The sequence below is a fragment of the Homo sapiens genome, chromosome 18, assembly GCF_000001405.40.
Source record: "Homo sapiens chromosome 18, GRCh38.p14 Primary Assembly".
Lineage (NCBI taxonomy): Eukaryota > Metazoa > Chordata > Mammalia > Primates > Hominidae > Homo > Homo sapiens.
Genome location: NC_000018.10, coordinates 6,788,504 through 6,806,338, shown reverse-complemented (window position 1 = coordinate 6,806,338; position 17,835 = coordinate 6,788,504). Strand labels below are relative to the sequence as shown.

Sequence of the window (17,835 nt, the reverse complement as noted above, 5' to 3'; positions counted from 1 at the left end):
CTTCAAGGTAAACTGATAAAGATTATAATACATAGCTTAAAGGAATCACTAAAATAACACAACAAAGAGATGTTAAGCAAATAATTGTCAATTAAACCAAAAGAAGCCAAAAAAGAAGAAAAAGAAGAATGAAAAAAGGAAAAATAGTCAGGCACGGTGGCTCACACCTGTAATCCCAGCACTTTGGGAGGCTGAGGCAGGCGGACTGCCTGAGCTCAGGAGTTTGACACCAGCCTGGGCAACATGGTGAAACTCCGCCTCAACTAAAATACAAAAAAACAAAACAATTAGCCAGTCCTGGTGGCGTGTGCCTGTAGTCCCAGCTACTTGGGAGGCTGAGGCAGGAGAACTGCTTGAACCCGGGAGGCGGAAGTTGCAGTGAGTCAAGATCTTGCCACTGCACTCCAGCCTGGCGACAGAGTGAGACTCTGTCTCCAAAAAATTTTAAAAAAAGGAAAAATATAAAGCAAATAAAAATAATATTTAAATGCAACCACATCAATAATTACATTAAAGTATAAATGGTGTAAACCTCTCAATTAAAAAGAAAAGGTAGCCAGGCATGGTGGCTCATGCCAGTAATCCCAGCACTTAGGAGGCTGAGGTGGGTGGATCACCTGAGGTCAGGAGTTCGAGACCAGCCTGGCCAACATGGTGAAACCCCGTCTCTACTAAAAATACAAAAATTAGCCGGGCGTGGTGGCAGGCACCTGTAATCTCAGCTACTCAGGAGGCTGAGGAAGGAGAATCGTTTGAACCCGGGAGGCAGAGGTTGCAGTGAGCTGAGATCGTGCCATTGCACTCCAGCCTGGGCAACAAGAGTGAAATTCCGTTTCAAAAAAAAAAAAAAAAAAAAAAAGGCAAAGGTTATCAGACCAGATTAAAAAGCAATACAGAACAGTATGCTGGACATAAATAGCTTACAATTAAAGGATAAAAAAACCATGCCATGCTAAAACAAATCAAATGAAAGTTGTAGTGGCTATATTAATAGAGGAAAAATTTTATTATAGAGCAAAAAGACTTCTGGAGATTAAGCAAATCATTTTATAATAATCAGTAAGATCAATGAAGACGAAATAACAATCTTCAAACTTTACATATTAACAAGAGCTTCAAAACAAATACAGCAAAAACTCAGAGAACAGCCAGGAAAAATAGACAAAAACCAAAATTACAGTAAAAGATTTCAAAACCCCTCTTTCAGCTGGGCATGGTGGCATGTGCCTGATGTACCTGTAGTTCTGGCTATTCAGGAGACTGAGGCAGGAAGACAGTGTTAGCCCAGAGGTTCAAGGCCAGCCTGGGCAACATAGCAAGGCCATGTCTCTAAAAATATAAATAATAAGTAACTTTTTCTAAAAAACCCTCTTTCAATAATCTATAGAACAGGTAGATACTAAATAAGTAAGTATATAAAAGACAACTTATTTGACATTTATAAAACATTTCACCCATTAATAGCAGAATACACGTTTTCAAGTACACATAGAACATTTACCAATATAGATACTATTTAGTCTACACAAAAAGTGTCAATAAATTTAAAAGGATCCAAATCATTGAAATATGTTCTTTGACTACAATCAAATTAAATTACAAATCTATAATGGAAAGATATCTGGAAAATCCTGGAATATTTTGAAACAAAATAACATACTTCTAATTACCCAATGGATCAAAAGAGAAATAAAAATGAAACCAGAAAGTGTAAAAGTATTAAAAATGTACCATAACAAAATTTGTGGGACATTGCTAAAGCAGTGGTTGGAGGGAAATTTGTAACATTAAACACCTATAATGTCCAAGCAATGACTTCAGCTTTGATCTTAAAAGAGAAAAATAGCAAACTAAATCCAAAATAAGCAGAAAAAATTAGAAATAACAAGTACCAGAACCAAAAAACAATGAAGCAGAAAACAGAAAAAAAAAGAATAAATGAAACCAAATGCTTGTTTTTAGAAAAGATCAATACAATTAATAAACCTTTATCCAGATGGATCAGGAAAAAGAGAAGACATAAATTGGTAATACCAGCAATGAGAGAGGTGATATCACTACAAATTTTACTGATATTAAATGAAAAATACTGGAATATTACAAATAACTTTATGCCAACAAGCTCACCAACTTAGTGTAAAAGATAAATTCCTTGTAAAACACAATCTACCAAAGCTCACTTGAGAAGAAATAGATAACCTGAATAGCCCTTTATCTATTAAATAAATTGAACTTGTAATTTAAAACTTTTCTACCAAGAGGCTGGTTGTGGTGGCTCACGCCTGTAATCCCAGCACTTTGGGAGGCCGAGGCAGGTGGATCACAAGGTCAGGAAATCAAGATCATCCTGACTAATACGGTGAAACCCCATCTCTACTAAAAATACAAAAAAATTAGCTGGGCGTGGTGGGAGGCGCCTGTAGTCCCAGCTACTCGGGAGGCTGAGGCAGGAGAATGGCGTGAACCCGGGAGGCGGGGCTTGCGGTGAGCCAAGATCGCGCCACTGCACTCCAGCCTGGGCGACAGAGTGAGACTCTGTCTCAAAAAAATAAATAAATAAAAATAAAAATAAGAAATAAAAATAAAAACTTTTCTATCAAGAAAACTCCAGGTCCAGATGGCTTCATCAGAGAATTCCTACAAACATTTAAGAAAAAGATAATTTATTATTTTTCTTCTTAAAAAGAAGTTCTCCAAAAACTCTTTCAGAAAATTGAAGGGGAGGGAACACTCACTAACTCATTCTATGAGGCCAGCATTACCCAAATACCAAAACAAGACAGACATAACATGAAAAGGAAGCCATCAGCTAATGTCCCCTATATACACAGACACAAGTATTATTAACAAAATTTTAGCAAATCAATCTACTCTATATAAAAAATATAATGCATCATAACCAAATGGAGTTCATCCTGCGACTACAAGGATGATTTAACGTTTGAAAAATAATCAATGGAATTCATCATATTAACAGATGAAAAAATAAAAACCACATGATCATCGCAATATATGGGAAAAAAGTACTTGACAAAATCCAGCATCCTTTCCTGTAAAAAAATTCTTAGCAAATTAGGAATAGAAGGGTACTACCTCAACCTATAAAGGGAATCTAGGAAAAACAGTAATATCATATTTAATATGAAAGACTAAATGTTTTCTTCCTAAAGTCACAGATAAGACCTGGATGATTGCTCTCACCACTTCTATTCAACATTGTACTAAAAGTTCTAACCAATGCAATCAGGCAAGAAAAAGATAGAAAAGGTATCCAGATTGGAAAGAAATAAATAAACTAGCTATATGTAGATATCATAAAAAATTTATATTTAGAAAATCTTATAGAATACATTAAAAGAAACTAAAATTAATACATGAATTTTGCAAAGTTATGATACATGAGTAATATAGAAAACAATAATTGTATTTCTATATATTAACAGTGAGCAACCAGAAAACTTTAAAAACAATGCCATTTACAATTGCATAAAATATTCTAACAAAAGATGTGCAAGATCTGTACACTGAACACTGCAAACATTGCTGAGAAATTAAAGAACACCTAAATTAATGAAGAGATATAACTTGTTCAAAGATTGGAAGATTTAGTATTTTAAGATGTTATGTAAATTAGTACAGTCACTATGAAAAAGTGTATAGAAGTTCCTCAAAACACAAACACAAAAAAAATAGGCTGGGCATGGTGGCTAAAGCCTGTAATTCTAGCATTTTGGGAGGCCAAGGTGGGCAAGATCACTTGAGGTCAGGAGTTCAAAACCAGCCTGGCCAATGTGGTGAAACCCCGTCTCTATTAAAAATACAAAAATTAGCCAGATGTGGTGGCAGGCACCTGTAATCCCAGCTACTCAAAAGGCTGAAGCAGGAAAATTAATTGAATCCAGGAGGCAGAGGTTGCAGTGAGCTGAGATTTCGCCACTGCACTCCAGCCTGGGCAACAGAGTGAGACTCCATCTCAAAAAAAAAAAAAAAAAAAAAAAAAAAAGAACTACCATATGATCCATATGATCCAGCAATTCCACTACTGCACTACTGCACATATATAAAAGGAAATCAACATATCAAAGGGATATTTGCACTCTCATGTTTATTGTAATACTTTCATGTTTATTGTAGCACAATAGCCAAAATAGGGAAATCAAGCTAAATGCTCATCAATGGATGGATAAATGGATAAAGAAAATGTGGTATACCTACACAATGGAATATTATTAAGCCATTAAAAAGAAAGAAAGCTGGTCATTTGCAGCAACATGGATGGAACTGGACGTCATTATGTTAAATGAAATAAGCCAAGTACAGAAAGACAAATATCTCATGTTTTCACTCATTTGTGGGAATTAAACCATGAATCTCGTTAAGATAAAGGGTAGACTGGTAGTTACCAGAGGCTGAAAAGGGTAGAGGATGAAGAGAGGTTAATTAATGGGTACAAATTTACAGTTAGATAGAGGAAATAAGATCTAGTGTTTGATAGATCAGTAAGGTGACCGGTGGGCTATTTATAATAATTTATCATACATCTCAATATAGCTAAGAAGGGAATAATTTGAATGTTTCTGGAATAAAGAAAAGACAAATAGTTAAGGTTATGGATATCTCAATTAGACTGACTTGATCTTTACAAATTATATCAATGTATTAAATTATCTTAGGTACTCCCAAAATATGTATATTATATAGCAAATTTTAAAAGTCACATTAAAAAAAAGATGTCAATTCTCCCCAAGTTGATCAATATATTCAATGATTCAAATGAAATCCCTACCAAAATCCTAGCAGGCTTTCTTCATATAAATTGATTAGCTTTCTAAAGCTCATATGAAAATGCAAAGAACCTGAAATAGCCAAAACTACTGTGAAAAAGAAGAAAGTCAGCACACTTATATTATGTGTCTCAAGACTTGTTATAAAATTATAGTAAGAAAGCAATGTGGTACTGCCATCAAATAGACTCAGATTAGAACAGAATAGAGCCCAAAAATACACTAACACATATGTTGTTAATTAATTTTCAACAAAGGTGCAAAGGCAGCTAACTAGGGAAAAGATCATCTTTTCAATAAATAGTACTGGAACAACTAGAAATTCACATGCAAAAAAAATTTAAAGGCCTTCCATCCATACTTCATACCACACACCATATACAAAAATGAACTCAAAATGGATCATAGACCTAAACGTAAAATCTAAAACCTTTTAAAACTTCTAGAGGAAAACACAAAAGAAAATAAAAATCTTTGTGACCTTGGCTTAGGTATATTTGAAAGATAGGACACAACAAGCACGATCCATGACTTACAATTCCTCTGCTCTTCAAAAGACATTGACAAAAGAATGAAAAGATAAGCCACATACTTCAAGAAAATAATGGCAAATCATATATCTGATAAAGTACTTGTATCCAGAATACATAAAGAACTTTCAAAATTCAGTAATAATCAAACCACTGTATTTTTTAAATTATACTTTAAGTTCTGGGATGCATGTGCAGAACATGCAGGTTTGTTACATAGGTGTACACGTGCCATGGTGGTTTGCTGCACCAATCAACCCCTCATCTACATTAGATATTTCTCCTAATGCTATCCCTCCCCTAGTCCCCCATCCCCTGACAGGTCCCAGTGTGTGATGTTCCCCTCCCTCTGTCCATGTGTTCTTATTGTTCGACTCCCACTTGTGAGTGAGAACATGCAGTGTTTGGTTTTCTGTTCTTGTGTTAGTTTGCTGAGAATGATGGTTTCCAGCTTCATCCATGTCCCTGCAAAGGACATGAACTCATCCTTTTTTATGGCTGCATAGTATTCCATGGTGTATATGTGCCACATTTTCTTTATCTAGTCTATCACTGATGTGCATTTGGGTTGGTTCCAAGTCTTTGCTTTTGTGAACAGTGCTGCAATAAATATATGTGTGCATGTGTCTTTATAGTAGAATGATTTATAATCCTTTGGGAATATACCCAGTAATGGGATTGCTAGGTCAAATGGTATTTCTGGTTCTAGATCCTTGAGGAATTGCCACACTGTCTTCCACAATAGTTGAACTAATTTACACTCCCACCAACAGTGTAAAAGTGTTCCTATTTCTCCACATCCTCTCCAGCATCGGTTGTTTCCTGACTTTTTAATGATTGCCATTCTAACTGGCATAAGATTGTATCTCATTGTGGTTTTGGTTTGCATTTCTCTAATGACCAGTGATGATGAGCTTTTTTTCATGTTTGTTGGCCACATAAATGTCTTCTTTTGGGAAGTGTCTGTTCATATCCTTCAGCCATTTTTTGATGGGGTTGTTCTTTTTCTTGTAAGTTTCCTTAGGTTCTTTGTAGATTCTGGATATCATCCCTTTGTCAGATGGATAGATTGCAAAAATTTTCTCCCATTCTGTAGGGTGCCTGTTCACTCTGATGATAGTTTCTTTTGCTGTGCATTAGCTCTTTAGTTTAATTAGATCCCAATTGTCAATTTTGGCTTCTGTTGCCATTGCTTTTAGTGTTTTAGTCATGAAGTCTTTGCCCATGCCTATGTCCTGAATGACATTGCCTAGGTTTTCTTCCAGGGTTTTTATGGTTTTAGGTCTTACGTTTAAGTCTTTAATCCATCTTGAGTTAAGATGCGGTCCAGTTTCAGTTTTCTGCATATGGCTGGCTAGTTTTCCCAACACCATTTATTAAACAGGGAATCCTTTCCTCATTGCTTGTTTTTGTCAGGTTTGTCAAAGATCAGATGGTTGTAGATATGCGGCGTTATTTCTGAGACCTCTGTTCTGTTCCTTTGGTCTATATATCTGTTTTAGTACCGGAACCATGCTGTTTTGGTTACTGTAGCCTTATAGTTTGAAGTCAGGTAGCGTGATGCCTCCGGCTTTGTTCTTTTTGCTTAGGATTGTCTTGGCTATATGGGCTCTTTTTTGGTTTCATATGAAATTTAAAGTAGTTTTTCCTAATTCTGTGAAGAAAGTCAATGGTAGCTTGATGAAGATAGCACTGAATCTACAAATTACTTTGGGTAGTATGGCCATTTTCACAATACTGATTCTTCCTATCTAAGAGCATGGAATGTTTTTCCATTTTTTTGTGTCTGCTCTTATTTCCTTGAGCAGAAACCATTGTATTTTTTAATGCGCTAAAGATTTAAAAAGACAAGTCACCAAAGAAGTAAACACATTGTTGAGGGAAAAATGAGGCATTGTTATAAACCAAGAACTGAAGTCAGTAATACTTCCTCTAGGATATTGTCCCTGATCCTACCAGATGAAAAGGTTCTGCCAACACATACCACTTATCATCTTGTAGTTCACTGGCTGGAAGACATGATTCATCTCAATTATTAAATTTTAAACTACTTGGAATCAGAAATGACATTAGATTAATTTTGACATCCCTCAGTCTGTCACAGGGTCTAGCATGATGCATGCTTCACATGAGTAAATATTAAATGCATAAACACAGAAGAATTGTAAGTATATATGGAAATGCTTTTATTTTTTATTTAAATCACTTTGGTGGTACGAATGGTTTTTGGTTACATGGTTGAATTCTATAATGGTGAATTCTGAGATGTTAATGCACTAGTCAACTGAGCAGTGTGCACTGTACCCAATATGTAGTCTTTTATTCCTCACCCTCCCTCTGAGTCCCCGAAGTCCATTATATCACTGTGGGTGTCTCTGCATCCTTGTTGCTTAGCTCCCAGTGAGAACGTACAGTATTTGGTTTTCCATTCCTGAGTTACTTCACCTAGAATATTGAGCTTTTTAAAGTGAATGCTGTATATTGAAGAAACGTATTTCAGAAAGTCATTGTATAGGTTTAATAATTTACAGGCTGGGCATGGCGGGCTCACACCTGTAATTCCAGCACTTTGGGAGGCCGAGGCGGGCAGATCACCTGAGGTCAGGAGTTCGAGACCAGCCTGGCCAACATGGGAAAACCCCGTCTCTACTAAAAATACAAAAATTAGCCGGGCATGGTGGCAGGTGCTTGTAATCCCAGCTACTTGGGAGGCTGAGGCAGGAGAATTGCTTGAACCTGGGAGGCGGAAGTTGCAGTGAGCAGAGATTGCGCCATTGCACTGCAGACCAGGTGACAAGAGAGAAACTCCGTCTCAAAACACACACACAACCCCAATAATTTATAATTAGTTTCCTTCTCTGATTATATGTAGATGGAGGTGTTTTTTTGCATATGAATCTCCAATTGTTCCACACTATTTAATGAAAAGAGTCTTTTCCTTTTTATTTCCTATTTTTATCATTAGTGTTCTAAAAAACTGAATTTTATTAAAATAAATCTTTTCAAATTTATGCTTTTCCTTTAAACTTAATGTTTTTAAAAATGTGTTTAAAAAATTGTGTTTCGGCTGGGCACAGTGGCTCATGCCTGTAATCCCAGCACTTTGGGAAGCCGAGGCAGGCGGATCACAAGGTGAGGAGATCGAGACCAGCCTGACCAACATGGTGAAACCCTGTCTCTACTAAAAATACAAAAATTAGCCGGGTGTGGTGGCGCGTGACTGTAACCACAGCTATTCAGGAGGCTGAAGCAGGAGAATCACTTGAACCCGGGAGGCGGAGTTTGCAGTGAGGCGAGATCGCGTTGTTGCACTCCAGCCTGGGTGACAGAGTGAGACTGCGACTTAAAAAAAAAAAAAAAGCGTTTCTAAAAACATCATCTAAAGTTAATCACTGTTCTCTAGTTCCCCTTCTCATAGGCCTCCAAATTGTAGAAAGCTGTTCCAAGCAGTGCCAGTTCTAAAAAGATAACAAAGTTCTGCTATTACAGAAGACAAAAGGAAACAGAAGACCGGGAAGAGGGAGGTGGGGGAGAAATATCATATACAGTTTCATGAAGATCCAGACTCCTTAAGTTTTAAGTACTGTCCAAGAGACAACTGCCAGGACAATTCTAGCCTCAGACAATGTTCTGAAGCGAAGACAGATGCTCAGACTACGCGGCCTCCAGAAGGCGGAAATCCTTGAGTTGGCAACCATCTTGTCTTTTCCAGTCTCCAAGTGACAGAGAAAATACTCCAAAAGCAACAAAGTGATCCAGTTTTTTCCATTTCTGAAGTCTTGCTTCAGGTGGGGAGTTACTGATTAAAAACAACTACAACAACAAAAACAAAAAACACACCTCTTCACAAATCAGGGCAGATTTTATAAGTGGATACACCTGACTCCAGAAAGTTAACGTTATATAACACCTGGATGACAAGAACAGGAAGGAAACAAATAGAGCCCCAAAGTCTATTTACTTTCAATAAATATTTGTTGGTCATATACATATAAATTTCTCCCTCTGGTGGGTTGTGAAGTTTGTCTAGACTAACCTAATTTCAATTGCCATCCCCAGTTTACAGACCCCTTCACCTACCAGACACCTGGCTAAGGTTTGCTTCTAATTTTCCATTTGTTATTTCTTAATTTAAGAATCATTTAAAATTTTTCAATTATTTTTGAATAAAATATAAAACCACAGAAGTGTGTGTATGTGTGTACACACAAAAAGGAGAAAGAAAAACAAGTAGTTCATTTTCGACTAATAGGGAAACTTGCTCCTTTAAATCACCAAAGGTTTTATGGGAATTTGCCAAATAGGTTCACTTGCCAATCTCATTATTTATAAGACCCATAGGATGTTGTAATAATGTATTTTTGGAAAATAACAACAAAGCTGAACCTACAATTCAGAGAGGAAAGAAAAGAGAGCGAGACTAACTTCAGAATGACTGCAGTTTATTGGTTACCCAATCTCGTAGCCTGTATGACAATGTACCTTTTCTGAAGAAAATGACCTACACATCAAATACAAAATATTGTATTCAATAAAACGGCTATTGTTACAGAATGAAGATGATGTTGGCATCTTTGAAGACAGAGGCCAGGAAGCTTTTAGAAATGGGTAAGTTGATGTGTGGGAAAGACAGGGAGTATAGCAGGGGTGCTCGGGGGAGGCAGGTGAGGGAAGCTGAAGATTTGTAATGTAGAAATGCATGTTGAGAAGCTCAAGTGGTCTCAATACGCTCTGAAAAAAATGTATGCATGTATAGATGTGTATATATTTTTATAAATACATGAATGCGTGTGTGCATGCACTCTGCTACCATTTATTGACAACTTCTTTTCAGCGAGTGCTCACTGGTACAGAAATCAGGCTGGTTGTCTACCGCTAAGGCCTGTTTCTCTTGGTACGTTCCTGGGCCTTCTAAAGAGTTATTAAATATTTGGAATAACACCCATGTATGTTGCTCTACATTTTGTTAGGCACATTCATTCATCCATTGGCCAGACTTTGCTCAAAGGCAGGAGAAGCCTGTAGGCTTTAGATATGATGGTCTGGCTTTTGTCATATGCTGTAGTTTGATTTAGGTTCCAATGTTACACATGAAATGCAAGGATCTACATGTTACCTGGCTGTATGTTTTAAAACTTCCCTTGGGATGTCCCAGGCCATATCCTGGTTAACACAGGGACTTAGGGAAGCCCAGCCTCTAAATATCTGGTGACTCTTTCTGCAAATGGGAACTTGACCATTCACATAGGGGCTACACCCAGCTTGCCCAGTGAGAATGTCAAGTGTGACCTAGAGCAGGGATCAGTGAACTACAACCCACAGACAAATCTGGAGTGCTGCAGGCTTTCTGCTGCGGGCTAACATATAGGCTGTGTTTCTGGAAACACAGCCACAGTGACATAGAGCTCCTCTCACTTGCTTATGCATAGTCCATGGCTACACGCCAGCTGCCAGTGTAGAGTTAGTAGTTACAACAGAGATCATATGGCCTGCAAAATAGAAAATAGTTACATTTGGTCTTTTACAGAAAAAGTTTGCCAATCCCTGGTCTAGAGCAAAAGAATGTGTGTGAGGCCCAGGCTGCAGCTGTGTGCCTTCTTGGGACACACAGAGAAATCCTCTCCCTTCCCCAGCCTAGGGGAACACACTGTTCCCCGAGGAAGGGTGACTATTAGAATATCCTCCCATCTCGTCACCATCAACACAGGCTGTGCCCTCCTGGAGCACTCTTCTTTCTCGCAGGGACCCCTCCAGCTCTCTTCCTTGCTGGATTTCAGAAAGAATAGGAGAATCAATGAAAACGCGTTGCTTTTCATACTCTGAATCTTTGTGTAAAGATCCACTCCCTCAGAGAGAAAGTGCTCTAAGATCCACTCCTGGATTTAGAAAATTAGTCTTAATAAAATGAATACCCAGGAAAATATTCTAATGATAATCTGTGAAAATAAAACTTCAGTGCTTCAGTTGATTTCTCCAGAAACTCCGTTTAAATCTGTGTAACTTTTCTTCATGCATCTAAGAAAAATTGCAATTAAAAAATTAGGCCAGGCATGGTGGCTCATACCTGTAATCTCAGCACTTTGGGAGGCCCAGGCGGGTGGAGCACTTGAGCCCAGGAGTTCGAGACCAGCCTGGGCAACACAGTGAAACCCTGTCTCTATAAAAAATTTAAAAATTAGCCAGGAGTGGTGGCGTGTACCTGTCATCCCAGCTATTTTGGAGGTTGAGGTAAGAGGATTGCTTGAGCCCAGGAGGTCGAGGCTGCAGTGAGCTATGATCTGTGTCACTGCACTGCAGCCTGGACAACAGAGCAAGACCCTGACCAAACATAAAAAAAATTAAATTGATCATGTGATTTTAGAATTCAGAGTCTCAAGATCTATTGAACAAACAAAAGGCAAGATCAGAAATAAATGGTTTAGACCCTAAAAGCAAATCTAAAAGAATTTATAAGAAAAACTGAAAACCACTGGGAATTTTTAAAATCACAAGTCAAGGGAGGCAAGGCAGTGTCCTGTGAGGGATAGAGCAGTAATGCGCATTGTTACCTGCCAGGGGAGGCCCAAGTTCCTCCTGGTGAGGATGGGCAGTTCCAAGGTTCCTCTGCAATTCACAGGACTGTCTCCCCATTTTCCTGCTACATGCTCAAGATCCATGAGCCCATTTTTAGAACGGACAATTTCTCTAGTGTTTTTGAAGTCAGGCAGAAACATAAATCAAAGCCACTACAATTTACTTGTTGTATTATGACAGAAAAAAAGAATATGAACTAGAACAAAATGTGGTAGTCTGTTATGAAACTTAATTTGTGGGGAGGATCAAAAGAGGTTGGGAAAGAAGAATTTATCATGTTTAGTGGGGTATGTGGTAGAAAACAGAACAAATGTGGCAGCTATTTTAAGCACAATTTTCTGTGCATCTATTTTGCAACACCTTAAGCCTAGAACTGCACGCCATACACTTTTTCTTAATGAGAAATATTGTTTATTTTTAACTGGAAAAAGTTTAATGGTGTTTGTTATCTAATATTTTTATTTTTTTCTGACTGAAAATGAATAAAGCACTCATTTTATTAACATATAGAATTTACAAAGTATAACCTCTCTCTCCTCTTCATACCCATTTCATGAATGATCTAACAGAGCCTCTAGCAAGTAATCTCGGACACTTCCATATTGATAAATGAGTCTGAGTAGAATATTTTCTATTTACATTGTAAATCATCTAGTATCCTTTTTGACTACCCTTAGCCTTCACGGGTCCCTCTGAATGAATGACAAATCTAAATCAAGTCCTCAGCATATTAGAAGCCAATACACATCTATTACTGATGAACACAGAGAGTAACCAACAATCTTTTAAACGTCACTGCCAAGAAGCACTTTATAATTCGCATTATGACTTTACATATGTATGAAGGTGGAGGGAAAAGGGTGAATAGGGAAAGACATTCAAATAGTTTCCTGAAAATCAATTGTAATTCTTTAGTTTTCTTCCACTTAGAGCATAACCTTAGAGCCGTAAATTTAACTCTCTTCTTCCACCCTATCTCTGTCCACCTCAAAGCCGTCCATTCCCTTTGGCTGTAGGAAGACAGAATGCAGAAGAAGAACATAAACATGAAACAAAATAGAGGTACACATAAGAACAGCGTCCATGGCCTGAATCCTTAAAACAACAGGTCAGAGAATTATTAGAGGAGCACTGTTCCTCATCTGTCCTTATTTTGAGCATAAAAAGACCTTACCTATTGTTACATACCAAGGCCTTCTGTAGTCAATTACCGCCCATTGCAATGATGGACCTTACAATTGTACAGCATTTTAGGGTTCCATATTTATTGTGTCTCGTAAGTGTGTTAATTATGAAGAAATAGCAGCTGTAGATGTCAAATCACTTGCCCCAGTCATGACTTAAAGAAAAATAGTCTTTTGGGCAGAAATGTGGAAAACTTTTGGACCCAATATAATCAGTATAAAAGCCACAACAAATCATGCAGAATAATAAGTTGTTTCTTTCAAGGTTTTCATTATGTTTTGCTTAATGTTTGAAATACACTTTGAATGAGGCAAATGTGAGCATCATACTGGAAGTAGCTTTAGGGAACAGATTTCATTTGTAAGTAGGCTGGAAACCGGCTAGATGAGAGCCATTGCTAAGAGGAACAGCAACATTCATATGTCTAATGAGTTAACCTAAGAACCTATAGTTCTGAGGAAAAAAGGGATTGGAGCAATTTATGTAGTCACAGTGGAACAACTGTATCAGCTGGCGGGAGGGAGAACTACAGAGTTCCACAGAGGTCACGATTACTGCGCCATTATGTTATTTTCCCCGATTTCTTGCTTAGCCAGAACTCTAAGAATGAAGGAGGGGCACTTGATGCTGTGAACACTTGCTTCCCCCTTGCACTGTATCACTCCATAGGAAGTGTTCTGGAATGCTGTGGGAGCGTTTTCTGATTGTTGCAAGGACTAGCATTTAATTGGCAGGGCCAGGAATGCCAAGAGTCCTAAAATGCATGGACAGTACTGCATAAGAAAGAACTGTCCTGTGTCATGCAGGACTTTCAAATCCTTGCTGGACACTCACCACAGGACAAAAACCTGTTTATAACTATCAGAGGTTAATGCAGTTTTAAATATAGATATACAATGTACTTTTTTGCTCAGCTTTATTAAACATTTATTGAAAAAATTCATTGAGCATAACTGATGAACAATAAACTGCACATGTATTAAATGTACGACCTGATGAGTTTTGACGTTTGTATTCACACATGAAACCATCATGACAGTCGAGGACACATACACCTCCATCAGTTACAAAAGTCTTCTCACACCCATTTGTAATTCTATCCCTTCCTCTACGTCCATCTCCAGGTAACCATGATTTGCTTTCTGAATCTACAAATTAATTTGCACTTTAAACCAGGCACAGTGGTTCACATCTGTAATCCCAGCACTTTGGGAGGCCGAGGCAGGTGGAGCACCTGAAGTCAGGAGTTCGAGACCAGCCTGGCCAACATGGTGAAACCTCGTCTACTAAAAATACAAAAATTAGCCGGGCATGGTGGTGGGTGCCTGTAATCTCAGCTACTCAGGAGGCTGAGGCAGGAGAATCCAGCCTGGGTGACAGAGTGAGACTCCATCTCAAAAAACAAACAAACAAACAAACAAAAAAAACCCACAAATTAAAAAAAAAAGAAAAAAACTGGCACTTTATAGAATTCTAAATAAATGGAATCATACAATAAGGACTCATAAAATATGTTTTTATACATGGAACTTTACAGCAATACAACCATAGTGTAATTTGAGGGAAAACTATACTTTGTTTTGTTCAAATACTCACCATTCTGGAAATTCAAGTCATCTGCGGCACCACAAGCAATACAGCTCATGTAGACCCCTCTCCATTTGTAGCATGCATGGTAATTCTGCACATCAGACCAACCAAGTGACTCCTTCAATGTGTTCAGTCAGTTTTAGTCATGTCCCAATGTTTACATATTTAAATACTTATTATATAAAATATACTTTCCTTTTACTTCTTCCTTTATGTGATGGTTAATTCTGAGTGTCAGCTTAATTGGATTGAAGGATACAAATATTGATCCTGGGTGTGTCTGTGAGGGTGTTGTCAAAAGAGATTAATACTTGAGTCAGTGGGCTGGGGAAGGCAGATCCACCCTTAATCTGGTGGGCACAATCCAATCAGCTGCCAGTGAATATAAAGCAGGCAGAGGAACATGGAAAGGAGAGACTGGCCTAGCCTCCCAGCCTGCGTCTTTCTCCTGTGCTGGATTTTTCCTGCCCTCGAACATCGGACTCCAAGTTCTTCAGTGTTGAGACTCAGCCTGGCTCTCTGCTCCTCAAGCTTGCAGACAGCCTATTGTGGGACCTTGTAATAGTGTAAGTTAATACTTTATAAACTCCCCTTTATATATATATATCCTATTAGTTCTGTCCCTCTAGAGAACCCTGACTAATACACTTTATATTATAGTTGGGGCATTATATTAATTTCTAAAATTTTGTGCACAAGTAGATTATATTATCTATAAATTTCATTATGGGATATCAAAAGGGGACAATGTGTCTGATAGTGCTGAGTAATGGATCTACAGACCATTCATTCTTTCATTCCTTCTTTTCTGGAAAATCTCACACTCCAGGCTTCCGTGACAACACTGTCTCCCGGTTTCCCTGATCACTCTTTCTTAGTCTATTTCCCTGGCTTCTCTTGTACCCAACCCTGAGAAGCGGCAGTGTTTCCTCTGTTTCATCCTTTACCCCTCTGTTCTTATCAACTTCTCTCTCCCACGAATTTCTATGACATTTACTAACAATTATTTGCCAAACTGCTCTCAAATCTAGGTAGGTAGACTCCCCACCCCTCTTGTTGATTCCACAGCACATTCTCACTTGTCCACTCTGTTCGACTTGGATTTTCTCCCAGTGCAGTATATCAAAGGCAGCAAGTCCCAAACAGAACTCCTTATCTTTTCTGCAAAATCTACTCTCCCTGTATCTTCTGTTTTTCTTGGTTGGTGATGATACCATTTACCGAGTCTGACAAATTAGAAAACTGGAACATTTTGGACTAATTCATCATTTTTTATTCTCCTAGGGCAAGTGTTCGCCAAATCCAACAAAACTATCTTATATCCTGAATATGTCTAAACTCTAAAGCACAAGTTTTGTACTTTTACTAAATATCAATATAGCAACATTAAAGTCTTAATGTTAAGTATGATTTAAATCATTAAGTGTACTTAAGGTATCTAGCCTATGAAAATAATTTTAGACAACTTTATGCCCAAAAATGTTACGTAAAAAGTTATTTATGAAAATTTGGGAACAACCATTAAAGAAACAATTTGAGGCAGGGCACGGTGGCCCACGCCTGCAATCCCAGCACTTTGGGAGGCTGAGGCAGGCGGATCACCTGAGGTCAGGAGTTTGAGACCAGCCTGCCCAACATGGTGAAACCCCGTCTCTCTTTGTGTTTTGTAAAAATACAAAAAATTAGCCGGGGGTGGTGGTGCACACCTGTAGTCCCAGCTTCTCGGGAGGCTGCGGCATGAGAATCACTTTAACCTGGGAGGAAAAGCTTGCAGTGAGCCGAGATCATGCCACTGTGCTTTAGCCTGGGCGACAGAGTGAGACTCTGTCTCAAAAAAAAAACAAAAAAACAAACAAACAAAAGAAACAATTTGATATTTTAATTTTGCATCTATACAAAAGTAGTTTTGAAGCCATCAAAAGTATACTAATAGAGTGTCTTTATTATAAAAAGAAATGCTTTTCATAGTGTTAAATTAAAAATTGGGATGTAAAATTTTCCTACATAGGTAAAACATTCAGGGAAAAACGACCAGTATGAATTGTTAGTGGTGGTGATCTCTGGTGAAAGAAATATAGATTAGCTGTATCTTCCTTTATTTTGAGATGGAGTCTTGATCTGTCGCCCAGGCTGGAGTGCGGTGGTGCCATCTCAGCTCACTGCAACTTCCGCCTCCCGTGTTCAAGCAATTCTTCTGCCTCAGCCTCCCGAATAGTTGGGATTACAGGTGTGCGCCACCATGCCTGGCTAATTATTTTATTTTTTTTAGTAGAGACCAGGTTTCACTGTGTTGGCCAGGCTGATCTCTAACTCCTGACTTCAAGTGATTTGCCCACCTCAGCCTCCCAAAATGCTGGGATTACAGACGTGAGCCACCGCACCCGGCCTGTCTTTTCAAAGTGTACATCTGTCATGGAGGTAGCCTTCAGCTAGCTCCCTACCATGCAAAGGCTGAGGTGCCAACTCTATGCATGTCATAAAAAGGTCTCACATCCTCTCTCCCAAGTCTTGTTTCTTCAGCCTGATCCCCTGCAAATTCATCACCAACACACAGACCTTGCTACCTTCACTGGTACAAGTCATGAACTGCGGCATTTTTTCAAGGTTGATTTCTTTGACAAAAATGACCTTTTCTTCTGTGTTGTCAGGCCAAGTAATACATTTATCCTTTAAGACTCAATTCAAATGTCATTACTCCTTTGAAGCCTTTGTTGGTAGAGTTGGGAGCCACTCACACTGTCTTCCCAAACACTGTTGTGGATACTCTGTTTCACACTTATCTCTTGATATAAGACAGAGGTGGCCACAGGAATTCTTCTTCCTGGGCAAGTACTGTATCTTGGTCATCTTTGTATCACTTGTCTCTGATACAGTCTGGCACACCATCCTGGCATTGCTATAAAGAAATGCCTGGCCGGGCGTGGTGGCTCATACCTGTAATCCCAGCACTTTGTGAGGCCGAGGCAGGTGGATCATGAGGTCAGGAGATCAAGACCATCCTGGCCAACATGGTAAAACCCCGTCTCTACTAAAAAAAATACAAAAAAATTAGCTGGGTGTGGTGGTGGGTGCCTGTAGTCCAAGCTACTCGGAAGGCTGAGGCAGGAGAATGGCGTGAACCCAGGAGGTGGAGCTTGCAGTGAGCCGAGATCACTCTACTGCACTCCAGCCTG

At 38.5% G+C, this 17,835-nt stretch overlaps 1 protein-coding gene across 12 annotated transcripts in view; it reads right to left on the bottom strand.

Moving 5' to 3' along the window:
* Positions 1-17,835, bottom strand: part of ARHGAP28 (Rho GTPase activating protein 28) — a 186,001-nt gene that overhangs the window by 109,378 nt on the left and 58,788 nt on the right. The window contains exon 1 of one of the 12 annotated variants that reach the window (XM_047437801.1): positions 14,669-14,834. The exons of the other annotated variants lie outside the window; for them this stretch is intronic. The gene's annotated coding sequence lies outside the window, so the exon portion shown is untranslated. Of the gene's footprint in view, positions 1-14,668; positions 14,835-17,835 lie in introns of those variants that run through there. 12 annotated transcript variants of the gene reach the window in all.